This window comes from Homo sapiens, chromosome 12, assembly GCF_000001405.40.
Source record: "Homo sapiens chromosome 12, GRCh38.p14 Primary Assembly".
NCBI lineage: Eukaryota > Metazoa > Chordata > Mammalia > Primates > Hominidae > Homo > Homo sapiens.
Window position 1 is genome coordinate 45,873,591 of NC_000012.12, and position 19,200 is coordinate 45,892,790.

The following is a 19,200-nucleotide window of genomic DNA, read 5'->3' on the forward strand; positions in this document are numbered from 1 at the left end:
ATATTGCATGTTTGGTTCCAGATCACCACAAGAAGGCAAATATCACAATAAAGCAAGTCACATAAATATTTTTGTTTCTTAGTGCATTTAAAAGTAATGTTTACACTATACTGTAGTTAATTAAGTGTGCAATAACATTTTGTCTAAAATAAAAAGGTACATACCTTAATTAAAAATGCTTTACTGCTAAAGATGCTAATGATCATCTGAACCTTTAGCAAGTCATCATCTTTTTGCTGGTGAAAGGTCTTGCCTCGATATTGATGGCTGCTGACTGATCAGGATAGTGGTTGCTGAAGGTTGGGGTAGTCATGTCAATTTCTTAAAATAAGGTAATGAAGTTTGCCACATCACTGGACTCTTCCTTTCACAAAAGATTTTGCTGTAGCATGAGATGCTGCTTGATACCATTTTACCCACGGTAGAACTTCTTTCAAAATTGGAATCAAGCAGCAGTGCATTCCTGTACTCCCAGCTATTTGGGAGGTTGAGGAAGGAGGATTGCTTGAGTCCAAGAGTTCTGGGCTGTAGCACACTACACTGACTGGTTGTCTGCACTAAGTTCGGCATCAGTATGGTGACTTCCTGGGAGTAGGGACCACCAGGTTGCCTAAGGAAGGGTGAACTAGCCCAAGTCAGAAATGGAGCAAGTCAAAACTCCAACGCTGATCAGTACTAGGATAGTGCCTGTAAATAGCCACTGCACTCCAACCTGGACAATAGAGCAAGACCCTGTCTCTTAAAAAAAAAAAAAAGATTGAGTCAGTCTTCTCAAACCCTGCTGCTATGTTATCAACTAAGTTTATGTAATATTCTAAAGCCTTTGCTATCATTTCAACAGTGTTCACAGCATCTTCACCAGGAGTAGATTCTACCCCAAGAAACCACTTTCTTTGTTCATCCCTAAGAAGCAACTCCTCATCCATTCAAATTTTATCATAAGATTTTAGCAATTCAGTTACATCTTTAGGCTCTGCTTCTAGTTCTCTTGCTATTTGTATCATATTTGCTGTTACTTCCTCCACTGAAGCCTTGAATCCTCAAAGTCATTCATGAGAATTGGAATCAATTTCTTCCATACTCCTGCTAATGTTCATATTTCGACCTCCTCCCATGAATCACGAATGTTCTTAGTGGCAACTAGCATTAGAGAATCCTTTGCAGAAGATTTTCAATTTACTTTGCCAGATCTATCCATGGAATTACTATCTATAGCAGCTATAGCCTTAAGGAACAAGAGTTGAAAGTTGAGGCCAGGCACAGTGGCTGATGCCTGTAATCTCAACACTTTGGAAGGCCAAAGCAGGAAGATGGCTTGAACCTAGGAGTTCAAGATGAGGCTGGCAATATAGCAAGACCTTGTTCCTACAAAAAAAATAAAAAATAGGTGGTGATGGTGGCCCTTGCCTGTGGTCCCAGTTACTCAGGAGGCTTTGGTGGAAGGATCGCTTGAGCCCAGGAGGCGGAGTTTGCAGTGAGCGGAGATGTACCACTACACTCCATCCTCAGCAACAGAGTGAGACCCTGTCTCAAAAAAATAAAAAATAGTTGAAGTGACTGCTTGTTCCATGGGCTGCAGAATGGATGTTGTGTTAGCAGCATGAAAACAACATTCATATCCTTGTAGAGCTCCATCAGAGCTCTTGGGCACCTAGATACATTGTCAGTGAGTGGTACTGTTTTGAAATAAATCTTTTCATCAGAGTGGTAAGTTTCAATAGCAGACTTAAAATACTCAGTAAACCATGCTGTAAACAAATGTGCTATCATCTAGGCTTTGATGTTGCCCAGGCAATGTAGATTTAGCATAATTCTTAAGAGTCCTCAGATTTTCAGAATGGCCAATGAGCATTGACTTCAACTTAAAGTCACCAGCTGCATTAGCTGCTAATGAGAGTCAGCCTTTCTTAGAATCTTAGAAGCTTTGAAGCCAGGTATTGACTTTTCCTCTCTAGCTATGAAAGTCCTAGACCTAGATATCATCTTCTTCCAGTAAAAGGCTGTTTGATCTTTATTGAAAATCTGTTGCTTAGTGTAGCATTCTTTATCAATGATGTTAGCTAGGTCTTCTGGATAACGTGCTGCAGCTTCTGCATCAGGACTTGCTTTACCTTGCACTTTCATGTTATGGAGATGGCTTCTTAAACCTCATGAAGCAACCTCTGCTGGCTTCAAACTTTTCTTCTGCAGCTTCTCTACCTCTCTCAACCTATGCATAGAATTTAAGAGAGTTTAGGGCCTTGCTCTGGATTAGGCTTTGGCTTAATAGAATGTCTTGACTGGTTTGATATTCTATCCAGACCTCTACAACTGTCTCCATATCAGCAAGGCTCTTTCACTTTCCTGACATTTGGGTGTTCACTTGAGAATCACTTTTATTTTCCATTGAGAACTTTTCATTTACATTCACAGCTTGGCTGTTTGGTGCAAGAGGCATAGCTTTTAGCCTTTCTCAGCTTTGCCATACCTTTCTCACTAAACTTAATCATTTCTAGCTTTTAATTTAAAGTGAGAGACATACGACTCTTCCTTTCACTTGAACACTGAGAGGCCATTGTGGGGTTATTAATTGGCCTAATTTCATTATTGTTGAATGGTGTATCAGGGAGCCCTAAGGATGGAGAGAGAGATGAAGGTAACAGCCAGTCAATGGAGTACTCAAAAGACACATAACATTTGGCTGGGTGCAGTGGCTCACGCCTGTAATCCCAGCACTTTGGGAGGCCGAGGCGGGTGGATCACGTGAGGTTGGGAGTTCAAGACCACCCTGACCAACATGGAGAAACCCTGTTTCTCCTAAAAATACAAAATTAGCCAGATGTGGTGGCACATGCCTGTAATCCCAGCTAGTAGGGAGGCTGAGGCAGGAGAATCGTTTGAGCCCGGAAGGTGGAGGTTGCGGTGAGCCAGAGATTGTGCCGTTGCACTCCAGCCTGGGCAACAAGAGCGAAACTCCATCTCAAAAAAAGAAAAAAAAGGAAAAAAAAAAAAAGACACAGAACATTTACACTCCAAAACATTTACAAAGGTGACATCAAGATCACTGATCACAGATCACTATAACAGATATAGTAATAATGAAAGTGTTTTAAATATTGTGAGAATTACCAAAATGTGATATAAAGACAGGAAGCAAGCACATGCTGTTAGAAAAATGGTGCTGATAGTCTTGCTTGTCACAGGGTTGCCACAAACCTTCAATTAAAAAAAAAAAAAAGGCCGGGCGTGGTGGCTCACGCCTGTAATCCCAGCACTTTGGGAGGCTGAGGTGGGCGGATCACAAGTTCAGGAGACCGAGACCATCCTGGCTAACACAGTGAAAACTCATCTCTACTAAAAAAATACAAAAAAATTAACCAGGCCTGGTGGTGGGCACCTGTAGTCCCAGCTCCTTGGGAGGGTGAGGCAGGAGAATAGCGTGAACCCAGGAGACAGAGCTTGCAGTGAGCCCAGATCACGCCACTGCACTCCAGCCTGGGTGACAGAGTGAGACTCCATCTCAAAAAAAAAAAAAAAAAAAGTATTTGCAAAGCATAATAAAGCAACATGCAATAAAATGGGATGTACCTGTGTATTGCTATACAGGTACTGGTCCGTGGCCTGTTAGGAACCAGGCTGCACAGCAGGAGGTGAGTGCCAGGCAAAAAAGCAAAGCTTCATCTGTATTTACAGCCGCTCCCTATTGCTTGCATTACCACCTAAGCTCTGCCCCCTGTTAGATCAGTGGCGGCATTGGATTCTCATAGGAGCGCAAGCCCTGTTGTGAACTGTGCATGCGAGGGATCTAGGTTGCATGCTCCTTATGAGAACCTAATGCCTGATGATCTGTCACTTCTCCCATCACCCCCAGATGGGACCATCTAGTTGCAGGAAAAGAAGCACAGGGCTCCCATTGATTCTACATTATGGTGAGTTGTATAATTATTTCATTATATGGTACAATGAGTAATAATGGAAATAAAGTGTACAATAAATGTAATGCGCTTGAATCATCCCAAAACCATCCCCCCAACCCCTGGTCCATGGAAAAATTGTCTTCCATGAAAGTGGTCCCTGGTACCAAAAAAGGTTGGTGACCGTTGCCTTATACTATGTCCTTTACATACTGTCACTCATTTCACTTATCTGTAAGCTATAATCACCAGATATACTATTGTTATTTTTTATTATCTGTTAGATCAATCAAAAGTAAGAAAAAGAAATATTTTGCTTCTATTGATTTCTTCTCTAACACTCTTCCTTACTCTATGTAAATTCAAGTTTTGACCTCTATATTTTCCTTCTCTGAAGATCTCCTTTTAACATTTCTTGTGAAGCAAGTCTCCTGGTGCATATGGCCTCAGTTTTTGTTTGTCTGAGAAAGTCTATTTCTCCTTGACTTTTGAAGAGTGATTTTACTGGATACAAAATTCTAGGTTAGTGGATGTTTATCTTTCAACAGTTTAAATATCTCATTCCATTCTTCTTGCTTGCATTATTCCTAAAGAGACATCAGTGTATTCTTCTCCTTGTCCTTCCATCAGTAAGTTGGTTTTTTCCCTCTTAATTCTGTGAAGGTTTTTTTCTTTGTCTTTGGTTTTTGGAAGTTTGAATATGATGTGGCTAGGTGTTGATTTTTTAATATTTATCTTGTTTAGTGTTGTCTGTGTTTCCTGGATCTGTGATTTCTTGTGTGACATTAGTTTTGGAAAATTCTCACTTCGTTCTTACTTCAAATATTTTTTGTGTTCTTTCTCTTTTTCTTCTCTTTATGGTATTCCCACTGCATATATTTGCAGCTTTTGTTATCACCCCACAGTCCTTGAATATTCTGTTTGTTTCCTCTATTCTTTGTTCCCTTTGCTTTTCAGTTTGGGAAGTTCCTGTTGACATATCTTACTTACATCTTCAAGTCCACTGATTCTTTCCTTATCTGTATCCAGTCTGTTGATGAGTCTATGAAAGACATTGTTTATTTCTGTTACAGTTTTTTTCATATTTCTAGCATTTTCTTTTTATTCTTAGCATCTCATCTCTGCTTACATTATTCATTTGTTCTTGATGTTCACTTTTTCCATTAGTCTTAGCATATTTATTATAATTATTTTAAATTCTCAGTCTGAAAATGTCAAAATTTGTGTGATATCTGAGTCTGGTTCTAATGTTAGCTTTGCCTCTTCTGACCGTGTGTGTGGTGGTGGGCGGGGGTTGTTTGTTTTTATACTTTTGGCGTGCCTTGTCAGTTTTTGTTAAGTCAGACAGGATGTTTCAGTTAAGCATCTGAGGTAAATAGCCTTTGGCGTGAGGTTTTATGTTTATCTGGTTAGAATTTAGGCTATGTTTAATGTTTGCTGTAGCTGTAGGTGTCAGAAGCTTCAGTATTCCCTGATGTCCTTTTTTTTCTTCCTTTGTTGTTGTTGGATTTTTTTTAGAAACTCCTTTTTAAATATAGCCTGTATCTTGTAGCTCTCTCAGTTCTAATACACTGTTATACTATACTGGAAACCTGTTGATACAGTGGTAAGGTAATGGGGAGGTGAAATATTCTATAATCTTATGATTAAATCTCACTTTAAAAAAGTCGGCCTTCATCTAAGGGCTGCGACTTTGGTAAGTTTTTCAGCCTTTATTTTTTTTCTCCTGTGTAAGACGAAAAGTCTAGAGAGGGCCCGTGTTTTCTAATTGCTTTTCCTGTAAGTCAGATAAGGCTCTGGTAAAGTCGTTTTTCATGAGACAGACCTTTGTAAGGTGAAGAGAACAGTCTGGGCATATTAGAAATGTTTACTCACCCCCTTCCATTCCTGGAAGCAGGGAGAAATTTTTCTTCAGTCTTCACTGTGAGATCCTGGACTCTGAAGGTAATTCACACAAAAGTATGGGTTCTCCACAGAAACTGACCTCCCGCCCCAAGGGTTTTTAATTGTGAAGATTAGCAGTTTGTCAGTTGCTGTTTAAGGGTTCCTGCAAGTTACGGGCTCCAGCTATAAGGGCTGATTCTCTGTATTCAAGGGTCTCTCCAGCTTTCAGAGTGGTAGTTTGCCCTGTGACCTCAGTTCTCTGACAGATCCAGGAGGAGTTGTAAATTTTCAGTTTGTTCATCTTATTTCTTATTGTGAGGATGGGACTGATGACTTGCAGCTTTTTACATGTTTGAAAGGAAACTGAAAGTCCTCATCATTATCTTTTATCCTTGTTTATCATCATTAAGCACAATGTTGACTATTAGTTTATCCTTGAAATGTATAAATAATGTGTGATTGTATAAAACATTTTTGAGACTCCCTCAAAAGTGTCCTTTATTTAAAAATATCTATGAATTGCTGTTTAAATTCTGTGTAATTGGAGAAAAGGACTTGATGCCTTTGAATAGTGGAGTTTATATTAAGTGTTTTTAGGACTTTATTTTTCTAGGCTACAGTGTTCTTTGAATAAGTGGTGTCAGGCAAAGTTAAGAAAGGCCCTCTACCTTGCCTTTAAACATAGGAGTTTTGCTTTTGTTTTATATATAGGGGTTTTAAGTAATATTTTGTTTGAAGATTCTGTTGCTAAAAAGACATTTGAAAAACACTTTTCTGGAATCTATTGCTCCTCATATATTTCTCGTTAAAAACTGCTACAGAAAGATGAAAATTATTTTCCCTTAAGAGGAATAAAATCTACATTATATTTGTATTTAGAATTGCATTATTGAAAGTCAAACCAGGAATATAGAGGATCTCAAATATATTCTAAACAAATATTTCCTGTGTGAAAACTTGTCTGTCTATGAAGGAGGGACTTTTACTTGGTACTGATAAAACTGATAATTCCCCAACTGCCCAGGAAATCTACCCAAGTGATGTTGAGGTTCAAATCACCAGGTTCCTACTGAACCTTATACAGTTACAATTCCTCCTAAAGTTCCTATTGTAAGGTATAATTACTCCTACTGTACAAGCCAGAATAATTTTTTTGTTTGTTTGTTTATTTGTTGGGTGACCCAGGCAATTTTATTACTTTATCCCTGAACCTCAGTTGCCTCATGGATAAGATGGGGATAATAATAGCACTCATTTTATAATTATGAAGATTAAACACATTAATGCAAGGAAAACACTTGAGTCTGTGTCTAGCACATGCTCAACACTTAACAGATGTTATTTATACATGCTGATGTCTCAAACAGGCATGGAATGTTAAATACATAAAACAGGAAGTTTTAGCCATTGACATATTCTCTGCCCCTACCCCAGTTTGTCCAAGCCTATCGAGATAGTGTCCTTAATCTTTGCAGGTGTTGGATTCAAGACAACTGTCAGATGGCGTTCATCTGCATAAGTGAATATAAATGCAGTTTTGGCTGTTTGGGGGGACACAACACTAGAGTTTAATCTTCGAACTTGACTTGGAAGCATTCCTGCCAATATAAAAGATTTTGTTTGAGGCATTGGAGAAGCCAAAGCCTGCTCCTAGGTTGAACTTCCAGCTCATGGCCTAGTTGTAGTCCTGCTGCAGGTTCTGCTGCAGGCTATTTGCTGCCTTCTTGCTGAGGGTCATGTTGGGCCTTGCAGTCATGCTAGGGGGGCAGCTGAATGAAGGGGTCAGATTTTTGAATCCACCCATGTTTGAGAAATTTCCATTTCTGTTCCTTGTTCTTAAAACCAGTATCCTACTGGCCAAACTGGGTTACTGTCCACTTCCTGGTTTCAGAAGCTTCTCTTTTGCCCAGCTAAAGATCAGTCTGTTGCAAGGCCTTCCACCTCACCTGGTCTGTGTGCCCCTTGTCCATGTTGCCTTTCTTTTCCAACATAACCTCTGTGTCTGTCTGTTTTCTCTTTCCACGAGTTTCCTGCTACCCCACTCTCTTTCCTCTTCTTTTTTTCCTTTTCAGAGCCACGTCCTCAGTGAGTGGCTGCTCTGTTTTTCTTGGACTTCAGTTTCTTCTTTGCTGTGACCTTAGGGCCATCGCATATTGCGATGTATTTTGGAGCCTCAATTTTGACTGGCTTTTTTTTACTTCGTATCCTAAGGCTACATACACTTCATGGACCTGGAGGGCTTGGGGTGTGGCCTAGGAGGTTGTCTCCCTTCCGGTGGATTTTTTTGTCTTCTTCACTTAACCACTGTGTTCCCTGGGCTTCCCCTGCTTCCGTTCTGCCCCAAGGCTGCCTGCTCCTTGCCCTCCTTCCTCACTGAGCAAATGTAGGCAACATTCCTTTCCTTGCAGAATCAAGGGTCCTGGACTGAGAAGGCTCTGGGTTCCTGTGCCCCTTTTTTTCCCTCTTGTGTTTTTTGAACTTCTCGCCAACTCTGGTCTCCTCCTCACTGTGTCTGGGATCTGGGGAGGTTTTCACCCCAGAGCCGTGGAACATGCCAGAGGTCACTTCTTTTTCTTCTTCCTGCTGAGGAACTCCAAGTGGCAAAGCGCCTGCTTCCTGGGGCTGGGTGACTTCCCTGTCTGTCTGTCACACAACATGGCCTCAGGTTCTAGGTGCTCCTTAGGGTGCTAAGGCTTGTCTTTGTTTTCACTAGAGGCATCTCTGGTGTCCGCGCTTGTACCACACTCTTAGAGCGGGATGTGGCTCTTATAGGAGAAACATCAACAAAATGATTGTCATTGTTTAAAATTGAGATTAAGTCTCCAGTTCTTTGATGACCTTCTTTCTTTTTTACTTTGGGACCCCAAGGCCCAGGTCTCCTTTGTGGGCCTTGGTGATTATTCCCATAAGTCAAACTTCTCTGCCTCCAGGTGAGAGCCTACTTCACCATGACCCAGAAGTCCCGGAATAAGACTTTTGTACCGAACTGGCTAAAGTACGAATAATGCTTTGTCTGATAGAAAATTACTGAAAACAACAACAGACACCAACTTCACTATATTTTGCAAGTGATTAAAAACTTACAGGTAGCTAGAATTTGTTTTCTAGAACAAAGGTAGATTGATTTACATGATTACTTCTACTTCTTCCAAAAGTATTGAAGTATCTAAAGACGAGCTGAATGTTACACATAAAACTGCCATCTTGATAATGTGAAAATACTTGAAAGAGTAAAATATCCAAGTGGAATTTTTAAATTCATGATAACATGCCTTAGCAAATACTGTTTAATTTTAGGTAAACTGCCAATTTAGGTTGAAATTAATCAGTAGTTAGATTGATCAATAGCTTGACTTAAATGTCAGTGGGAGAAACAAATTGAAATTAGTTTTGTAGCATCATTTGTCTCAATTTTGTGGTCATAAAACCAGAAGAGATCTTCAGAGGGTTATATGTTGTTTTCTGAAGTTTTGTGGTATTAGCACAATGCCTTGCACATAAAATGCTTTTAACTAACATATTTTTGACTAAGTTAAATGAATGAAGTTTACCTAGCTTGATTCTAAAGTCATCAGTTCTTTGCTGACTTAGCCTGTTGGCATCTTGCATTTTCAATTGTCAGGATAACAAGTTGTCGTCATCTTGCTGTTTCTAGGTTGATAAAATATTTTGTGTGAGAGCGCTAAAATACTAGATATTTTGCTAATATTACTATCCTTATAATTTGAACTAATGAGCCTTCATAAATGTGAGATTAATTTCATTTAATAATTTATTTTTGGTAACATCAGTTTGAGAAATATGTGTTCCTTAGGCCTTAACTACTGATTTGCCATAAATAATTTTTTTAACTAGGAAATACCCTGATTTCTACCACACATAGTAGTAGAATTTTTACCTTGCTCTATTATTTTAAACATTGAATACCAAAGAATTTGATTACTTAAAGATGTTATCAAATGCCAAAAGGTTACATAACAATGAGAAGAATTTGCCAAATCATGTTGAAGACATTTTTGTTATCAAATATTTACAATAGTTGGGAAAAGAATTTCCTAGGGTGAGAATCTAGTATGTACTTCAGCAAAAACAAAAACAAAGAAACAAACCTTATTTATTCCTTGGAAACTTGTGCGTAAAATAAGGAGAATTATATACCAATGCTAACCTCTTATCTAGTATGCTTTCAGAATTTATTTGCCAGTATGATATCACAGATACTGTATATAAAAATATACCCCCATTTTTACCTAGTAATACATCTATGTGTAGTATTTGAGTAAACAATTATGTAGTATCACATAGAAGGAGAAAATCAGGTCTTTTATGTTAGACATACCAGGTTTCAAATCCCAGTTCTGTTACTTAGCTGTATAACTCTGGAAAAGTTACTTTTTGAAAGCCCACTTCCTCAGCAGTAAAGGGATAATTTTATGTTCAAAGAGCAGTCATGGGAATCAAATAAGATGATATATGTGAATATGCCAGATACATAGTAAGTTCTGAGCAAACAGAAGTTCAAGTGGAGACGTACTTTGCGCTATGTGCAGCTTTGTCAAGAACAGTGTGAACTGATGTGCTAGCATATCTTTCAAAGAGAAGAATGAATGAATAAGCTAGAATTTAAAAGTTTAAAATTATTTGGTATGCTTTTTTTATTTCATTAAAACCACACAGATATACACATCATCACTTATTTTTATTTTATCTCCAAGTTTATGTTTAGCTTATTAAGAATAACATTGTTGACCAGACACGGTGGCTCATGCCTGTAATCCCAGCACTTTGGGATACTGAGGTGTGCAGATTGCTTGAGGTCACGAGTTCAAGACCAGCTGGCCAACATAGTGAAACCCCATCTCTACTAAAAATACAAAAATTAGCTGGGCATGGTGGCAGGTGCCTGTAATCTCAGCTACTTGGGAGGCTGAGGCAGGAGAATCACTTAAACCTGGGAGGTGGAGGTTGCAGTGAGCAGAGATCATGCCAGTATACTCCAGCCTGCTCAACAGAGTGAGATTCTGTCTCAAACAAACAAACAAACAAACAAAACATTGTTATAATACCTGAATTGTACAAATCAGCTTTCATAGCACTTTTCAAATGTGAACTACTGTTTCAGCCCAATATTCATATTTGTTTGGCAGGTACACATTTTAAAAACATTTTAAAACAAAGTCCCTGATAATTCACTTTTATATTTTACTATGTAAAATAAGTGACTGCTTCACAGACCGGCGGGTTAATAGCACTTGATGTGGGAAGGTCAAAGAGCAAATACAGAAATCTTTTCCTGTAATAATTATTAGGAGGAAAGGAAAGGAGTCAGAACTGAGGGCAGTTGGTTTGGATCATCCCCCATATGAACCCCTTCCTATATTTGGGATATTTCCTACAATTTCAGTCTTACTAGGAGGCAGGGCCCATCTTTGTACAAAAGCCCCCCAAGAAGGCCAAATACTTGCTTCCTCCCCTATTGCCTTTGGCAGCTACACTAGTCAATCAGTTGTTCCCACCTATGACTTTTAATCTGGATTGACGGTAGCACAGAAGCTGAGACTGGAGAATTCATTCTTGTAGGAACAGCAATATTTTGTTTCCAAGAATACCAGTACTGATTTTCAGTTTTCCAGTTTGTATTTATAATGTTTCATCATGTATTAAGGAAATAAATTAATTTCTCTTTAATAGTGTAGTTAGTACTTTTTTTCTATTTTGAACTTTTGCAACTAGATAAAATAAAGTTGGGTTAGCCTCTCACCAAGGTTGTTGGTATATTTTTTCCCCAGAATTTTAGCAGCTTGTTACTAAGTCTTATTTGAATATATAATAATGCTTGCCCTTGATATTTCTTTTGTCATAGAATATATATATCTAAAACAGATGCCAAGGGTTGAGGTACAAGTTCATGGTTCTGCAACCAATAATAGAGCCTTTTTTAAAACTAAAATATGTTTGCAGTATGAATTTTTTGGATGTATAGTCTCACATATACATTTATGTGCATTTATTAACATTTATGTGCCATCTTTTTAACTAGAATATTCCTGCAAAAAAAAAAAATCCCTTGCATTTTAAGTCAGGTGAGTTTGTTTGTTTGTTTGTTTCAGTAGGAAGGCTATAAAGAAGGATATGGAATACTCTTTGGCCACCAAAGAAAAATAGCCTGCCAAGACCTTGAGTAAATAAGAAAACTCCAAATGAAACTATCTGTATTGTCCATTCTTATGCTGCTATAAAGAACTGCCAGAGACTGGGTAATTTGCAAAGGAAAGAGGTTTAATTGACTCACACTTCTGCAGGGCTGGGCAGGCCTCAGGAAACTTGCAATCATGGCAGAAGGAGAAGCAAACATGTCCTTCTTCACATGGCAGCAGGAGAGAGAAGTGCTGAGCAAACAGGGATAAGCCCTTTATAAAACCATCAGATCTCATGAGAACTCACTCAGTATCACAAGAACAGCATAGGGGTAACCCCATGATTCAGTTACCTCCTACTGGGTCCCTCCTATGACAAGTAAGGATTATGGGAACTACAATTCAAGGTGAGATTTGGGTGGGTACACAGCCAAACCGTATCATTCTGCCCTGGCCCCTCCCAAATCTCATGTCCTCACATTTCAAAACACAATCATGCCTTTCCAGGAGTCCCCCAGAGTCTGAGCTCATTCCATCATTAACCAAAAAGTCCAAGTCCAAAGTCTCATTTGAGACAAGGAAAGTCCCTTCCACCTATCAGCCTGTAAAATCAAAAGCAAGTTAGTTACTTCCTAGATACAGTGGGATAGAGGCATTGAGTATATATACCCATTCCAAATGGGAGAAATTGGCCAAAACAAAGAGGCTACAGGCACCATCCAAATCCATAATCCAATAGGGTAGTCATTAAACCTTAAAGTTCCAAAATGATCTCCTTTGACTCCATGTTTCACACCCTGGTCACGCTGATGCACGAGGTGGGCTCCTACAGCCTTGCGCAGCTCCACCCCTGTGGCTTTGCAGGATACAGTGCCCCCCCCGGTCAGCTGCCATCATGGGTTGGCATTGAGTGTCTGCGGTTTCTCCAGGAGCACAGTGCAAGCTGTTCATTTATCTACCATTCTGGGGTCTGGAGGATGATGGCCCTCTTCTCACAGCTCCACTAGGTAGTGTCCCAGTGGGGACTCTGTGTGGGGCTCTGACCTGCCCTAGCAGATGTTCTCCATGAGGGTTCTGCCCCTGCAGCAAACTTCTGCTTGGACATCCAGATGTTTCCATACATCCTCTGAAATCTAGGTGGAGGTTCCCAAACATCCTCTGAAATCTAGGTGGAGGTTCCCAAACCTCAATTTTTGATTTTTATGTACCCACAGGCTCAACACCACGTGAAAGCTGCCAAGGCTTGGGATTTGCACTCTCTGAAGCTACAGCCCAAGCTGTACCTTGGCCCTTTTTAGCCATGGCTGGAACAGCTGGGATGCAGGGCATCAAGTCCCTAGGCTGCAGGCAGCATGGGGGCCTGGGGCTGGCCCAGGAAATAATTTTGTCCTGCTAGGGCTCTGGGGAGAGGCTGCCATGAAGGTCTCTGACATGCCCTGGAGACATTTTCCCCATTGTCTTGGTGATTAACATTCAGCTCCTTGTTACTTATACAAATTCCTGCAGCAGACCTGAATTTCTCCCCAGAAAATGGGTTTTCATTTCAGGAAATTTGTACCTAGTAGCCTATGTGAATATTTGCTCAGTTGAACCAAACAGCTCTTCACTGGAATAAAAGAAAATACAATTTGGCTGAAGGGGAATTAAATGAAGAATAGAAGCTAATCCTGAGCTTTCACTGCAATGATTTAAATAATAAGCAGGAAACCAACTATTATAAATTATAGTGATGATGTAACTGAAAAATATATATATATTTTAAATCGCCAGTGACTGAGAGAAAAGTGTCAAAAACTTGTTACAGTAATTATATTAAATACTACATTTTGCATTGTTTTGCCAGATATTGATAAATTCTGGTTCCTTTCTTTTGAAAAAGTAGCAGGATCAAAGAAAAAGTGTTGTTTCTATCGCTTCTAGTTAGAATAACATTTGTTTTTATATACTTAAGTGTGGGATTCAGAAGAGAGGAAAAGATAAAAGATGCAAAAGAGGGGATAATTTAGGAAGAAACACAATAGAATCCAATGTTGTAGGAAAAAACCGGGTTCTTTTCACACAACCAGGAAAGATTAGGCTCATAGACACATGGAAGTGTGAGGAGTGGAATTTACTGGATGAGAACGGAAAAGGAAAAACAACTCAGCAAAGTGAGATGGAGTCCTGCTAACAGGTTTTCCACCTCACAGATTGAATCCCAGCTTACCACACAGGAAGAGGAGTGGCCAGGCATCTCCCTTCTGCAAGTGGCACGAACTTCCCGAGGCTCCACCCCGTCCTTCCAGTGCAGAGGCTGGTCAGGGATTCTCTGAGGAGCCCTTTTAACTTGGTTGTCTCACCAATATATAAGTGAAGGAGTTAACCAGGGAAATAGTAGCTACATTTGGCTGAGATCCTAGAGAAAGAAAGGATGAATAATGACTGAAGATCTAATGTACAGAAGAAAGTTAAAGAAGCTAGGCGGGCGGATCACGAGGTCAGGAGATTGAGACCATCCTGGCTAACACGGTGAAACCCTGTCTCTACTAAAAATATAAAAAATCAGCTGGGGGTGCTGGCGGGCGCCTGTAGTCCCAGCTACCCAGGAGGCTGTAGCAGGAGAATGGTGTGAACCTGGGAGGCGGAGCTTGCAGTGAGCCGAGATCGCGCCACTGCACTCCAGCCTGGGTGACAGAGCGAGACTCCGTCTCAAAAAAAAAAAAAAAGCTCTAATGAAATGAACTTATTTTTTCAGTAATAAGCATTTTTTTCAGAGACAAATGTAAGATACTGTCTCTAAATTTACAAATACACACAAGTACAGAGGAAGACAAGCTCTAAAATAAGATTGAAACTCACTATTTAACCAAAGTTGAATTGCAGATAGTTTCTATGGAGAATATTTTCAGGAGCAGAAATGAATAAAAGTAGTTGTGAGCGATAGTGAGTGTTGCTTGCTAATGGAGGCCACTAACTTGAAGGTGGACCAAACGTTACTTAGCAAAGCTTGGCAATTTTGGAATAGTTGTGGAGAAGATCTCAGAGTAGAGGATTAACAAGATGGGCAGGTGAAGAGACAAGACGTTACCAGTACCTCCACTACCCCTTACCACCACTACTGCTACTATTACTGATCATGATGACAATAGCCCTTATTTATTTTTGGCCTACTATTTTCCAAATAGATTTATACATATCATCAAATTTAAGCCTCACACCCATCTTTAAAACTAGATTCTCAGTGAGTAAAATGCATTTCAGAGGAATCTTTTTTGCCCAGAGCTGTTGCCTGTGGTTGTACACATCAAAGGGGGATCCAGTTACATTGTATGTGCCATATGTGGTATATTTATTACAACAATTTTTCAGCACAAGGCAATAAAGTATCTTAAGGAAGAGTATTATTTTAATTTGTACAAAGGGGCTGGGCTTGGTGGCCCACACCTGTAATCCCAGCACTTTGGGAGGCCAAGGCAGGCGAATCACTTGAGGTCAGGAGCTTGAAACCAGCCTGGCCGACATGCCGAAACCCTGTCTCTACTAAAAAAATACAAAAATTAGGCATTGTGGTGCACGTAATCCCAGCTACTCGGGAGGCTGAGGCAAAAGAAACACTTGAACTCAGGAGATACAGGTTGCAGTGAGCCAAGATTGTGCCCCTGCACTCCAGCCTGGGCAACAGAGTGAGACTCTGTCTCAAATAATAATAATAATTTGTACAAAGGTATCATATTACTCTGGAGTGGCAGCAGTATATAAAATTATATCAGTAACAGTCCCAGTTTTGTTTAAAAACACATACATACTCAGAGAAGGCTTAAAGAAAGTATACTAAAATGTTAGCATTTTAGTATACTTGGCTATATATCACAGGTAATTTTTATTTTTATTATTTTGTATACTCTTGAATTTTCCCAGTTCCCTTAAATGAACATATTGTTTATGATTTGCGGGTTGCTGATAGGGAGTGGAGGTGATTGCTGGAGTAGTTTTAAGAACAGTTTTCTAGACATGACAGTAAATGGTAGCATTCTGCTTCATCACTTACACTTCTCCCAACCCATCCAATAAATATCCGTAATGTTCTGAAAACTCAGTATTTATTTGCTTTACATTTCTTTAGAGTTTAACTCTCCAATATTACACGTAAACTTTTAAAACTCAGGTATCGGCCAGGCACGGTGGCTGGCTCACGCCTGTAATCCCAACACTTTGGAAGGCCGAGGCGGGTGGATCACAAGGTCAGGAGTTCGAGACCAGTCTGGCCAACATGGCGAAACCCCGTCTTGCCTAAAAATACAAAAATTAGCTGGGCGTGGTGGCAGGTGCCTGTAGTCCCAGCTACTTGGGAGGCTGAGGCAGGAGAATCGCTTGAACCCGGGAGGCAGAAGTTGCATTGAGTCGAGATCGCACCATTGCTCTCCAGCCTGGGTGACAGAGCAAGACTCTGTCTCATAAATAAATAAAATTCAGGTAGTTCATTTAATGGATTTGGAACCCTTAACTACTTTTCACCTTCATGTGATTATTGCAACCAGCTTCATTCATAGTTAGATTAGAACTTTACCTTGAACCACCACAACAATCAATGAATAGCTTTTATGACTAGAGTAGTTAGATAGAGAGAAAATAGACTTGGAATGAAGAAAAGAGTAGTAGATTGGAGAGAAAAATAGACTCTGAGGACAGATAGACTAATGAACACTTAAAAATATCTGTTTTAAAATCATACATAGTTGTGTATATTTAGTAATTAAAATTGATTTAAGGAAGTGCTATCCTTTTTCCTATGGCTGCTACATTCACCATTTTTATTGTTGCAAATAAACTTGATTAATTGTATGTATTGAAAAATAGTTTAGAAATAGACATTGTGAATAGTGAGTAGTAGTACATTTGGGTTTTGGTTTCTGTGTATATGTGTGCACGTGTGTGCAGACTTTATATTGCAATTAATGATTTAATAGTATTTAGGTAATGTCTTAACAAGAAATGCCTCCTTGTGGCAATAACTAGTATGTATAACAGAACTCAAATCATATTTCATATTAATGAAATAGCATTGTGAGTTCTGAGAATTAAACGAAATTCTAAAACAAAATGTATTTACTGATTTTAGCCTCACAATATACTTTTGTAGGTATTTATATAGATGCATGTGATGGAAATTAAATATATAACTTACTCTTTCTGACATTGTGTTATATAATTCAGTATTTAATTACTTTTTTGATTAAATTTTATTTTAAAATATTAGTCATTCCTGAAGGAATATTAATTTGGGATACTAGATATTTGTTACACGTTAAAAACTGGTTCAAATATAGATATGTTAATATGACAGCCATAAAAAGTCAAATCCTAAGAGATCTTTGCTGTAGATCTTAAAGATATTGATTATGGCCAGGTGCTGTGGCTCATACCTGTAATCCCAGCACTTTGGGAGGCCAAGGCGGGCAGATCATGAGGTCAGGAATTCGAGACCAGCCTGGCCAACATGGTGAAACCCCGTCTCTACTAAAAATACAAAAATTAGCCGCGCATGGTGGCATGTGCTTGTAGTCCCAGGTACTCGGGAGGCTGAAGCAGAAGAAGCACTTGAACCCAGGAGGTGGAGGTTGCAGTGAGCCGAGATCGCACCACTGCACTCCAGCCTGGCGACAGAGCGAGACTCCGTCTCAAAAAAAAAAAAAAAAATTGATTGCACAAATATTTGAGTTACTCATTAGTAATTGAAGCCTTTTAATACATTCTTTGCTGTCTAGATTCCACTGTTCTCTCTCATTTCCCTACTGTCTAATAAAGGAGAATAAAATCTGACTTTCTTCAGTTTTGTGTGCTTTGCCACATGCCCACTCAGACATCATAGGGTATGTGCTGGAGGAGTGAGAGATGGGACTTAAAAACATGGACAGACATATAAATGTGAACTTAAAAGGCAGACTTACTAAAACTTATAGAATTTGAACTGTTGGATTGGATATGCTTGAGTTATTATATGTAATATGAAATCTAGTAAATGCTTGAGAAATTTATGAAAGTACAGTAGAGTATGGTATTTGTTTATAAGATAATGTTCTATGGTGTTTTTAATGATATTTCATTCACTTTTAAGAGATTTTTAGTCAGCCTTCATTGAAGGTAGGGAATTATGAATAAGGGATGTTAAAACAATTTACCAAAAGTGTTCAGTACAACTGATGATTCCACTTGGAAATATAAGCAGAGAAATTTTTGAAATAGTTTCAAAATATACTTGAATACATCCAAGTGTCTACTACTTTTATTTTTTATAGGTGGTTTCAGACACCCTCACAGGTTTTCTACCATGCAGCAACTGAACATGGAGGAAAAGATGTATATCCAGGGCAGTGTCTTTGGGAAGGTTGTGAGCCTTTTCAGCGACAGCGGTTTTCTTTTATTACCCACTTGCAGGTACACTTTTTAAATACTATTTGATCAGTAACTCATTTGACTGCATTAAAGATTTTGACGTGCCATTCTCTTGCTTCCTCTTCCTCAAAAAGGATAAGCACTGTTCAAAGGATGCCCTACTTGCAGGATTAAAACAAGATGAACCAGGACAAGCAGGAAGTCAGAAGTCTTCTACCAAGTAAGGAAAATGAGTTTACTTCCTGTTGTACATACAAAAAGAAACTAGGCAAAACACAAGAAAATGAAACGCAACTTAGCATATTAGGAGACCAGAAACCTGGGTTCTAGTCCAGCTCTGCCATGAACCAGCAATGTGACCCTGTTCAAATTGCTTAGATTCTCTTGGCATCACTTTTCCTTTTGGCTGGACAATGTGGTCTGTAAGTTACCTTTCAGCTCTAACACTGATTCTGTTTTGTAGACTAGTCAGTCATTGGAAGTAATGACAGATGATATATGAGAAATGCTTTGTAAACTAAAAGTACTGTGTATGGTTCTTTTTTCTGTAAAAGTAATCATCTATTTGATAATGGCAAAGAGATTTCATATCTTGTCATTATCATATATATATATATACACACACATATAAACATACACTAGTTTACAGTTTAAAGATTGTTTTCAGGTTATCTTATTTAATATTCAGAATTAGCTTAAAATAATTTAATATTCAGAATTAGTAAAAATATATCAGAAATACCCCTGCTTTTCAGATGTGAAAAGAAATATTGAAAGTCATGCAGCCAGTTACAGTGTCAGAAATAGGGTTTCCTCATATACGAGTCAGCATCTCCATTGCTATCTCACCAGAGCACACAGATAATGATGCACTATATCTGCTTGGTGAAAGAAATCTACAGTAGTTTGAATCT

At 39.0% G+C, this 19,200-nt stretch overlaps 1 protein-coding gene and 2 pseudogenes across 2 annotated transcripts in view; 2 read left to right on the plus strand and 1 right to left on the minus strand.

The window, feature by feature from the left end:
• ARID2 (AT-rich interaction domain 2) overlaps positions 1 to 19,200 on the plus strand; it is a 178,332-nt gene that overhangs the window by 143,885 nt on the left and 15,247 nt on the right. For both annotated transcript variants that reach the window (NM_152641.4, NM_001347839.2), the window contains exons 17-18: positions 18,190 to 18,328; positions 18,421 to 18,506. In NM_152641.4, coding sequence (NP_689854.2) covers positions 18,190 to 18,328; positions 18,421 to 18,506 — 225 coding nt within the window. The remainder of the gene's footprint in view (positions 1 to 18,189; positions 18,329 to 18,420; positions 18,507 to 19,200) is intronic.
• On the plus strand, positions 445 to 740 carry RN7SL246P (RNA, 7SL, cytoplasmic 246, pseudogene; annotated as a pseudogene).
• Positions 7,360 to 8,678, minus strand: KNOP1P2 (lysine rich nucleolar protein 1 pseudogene 2; annotated as a pseudogene).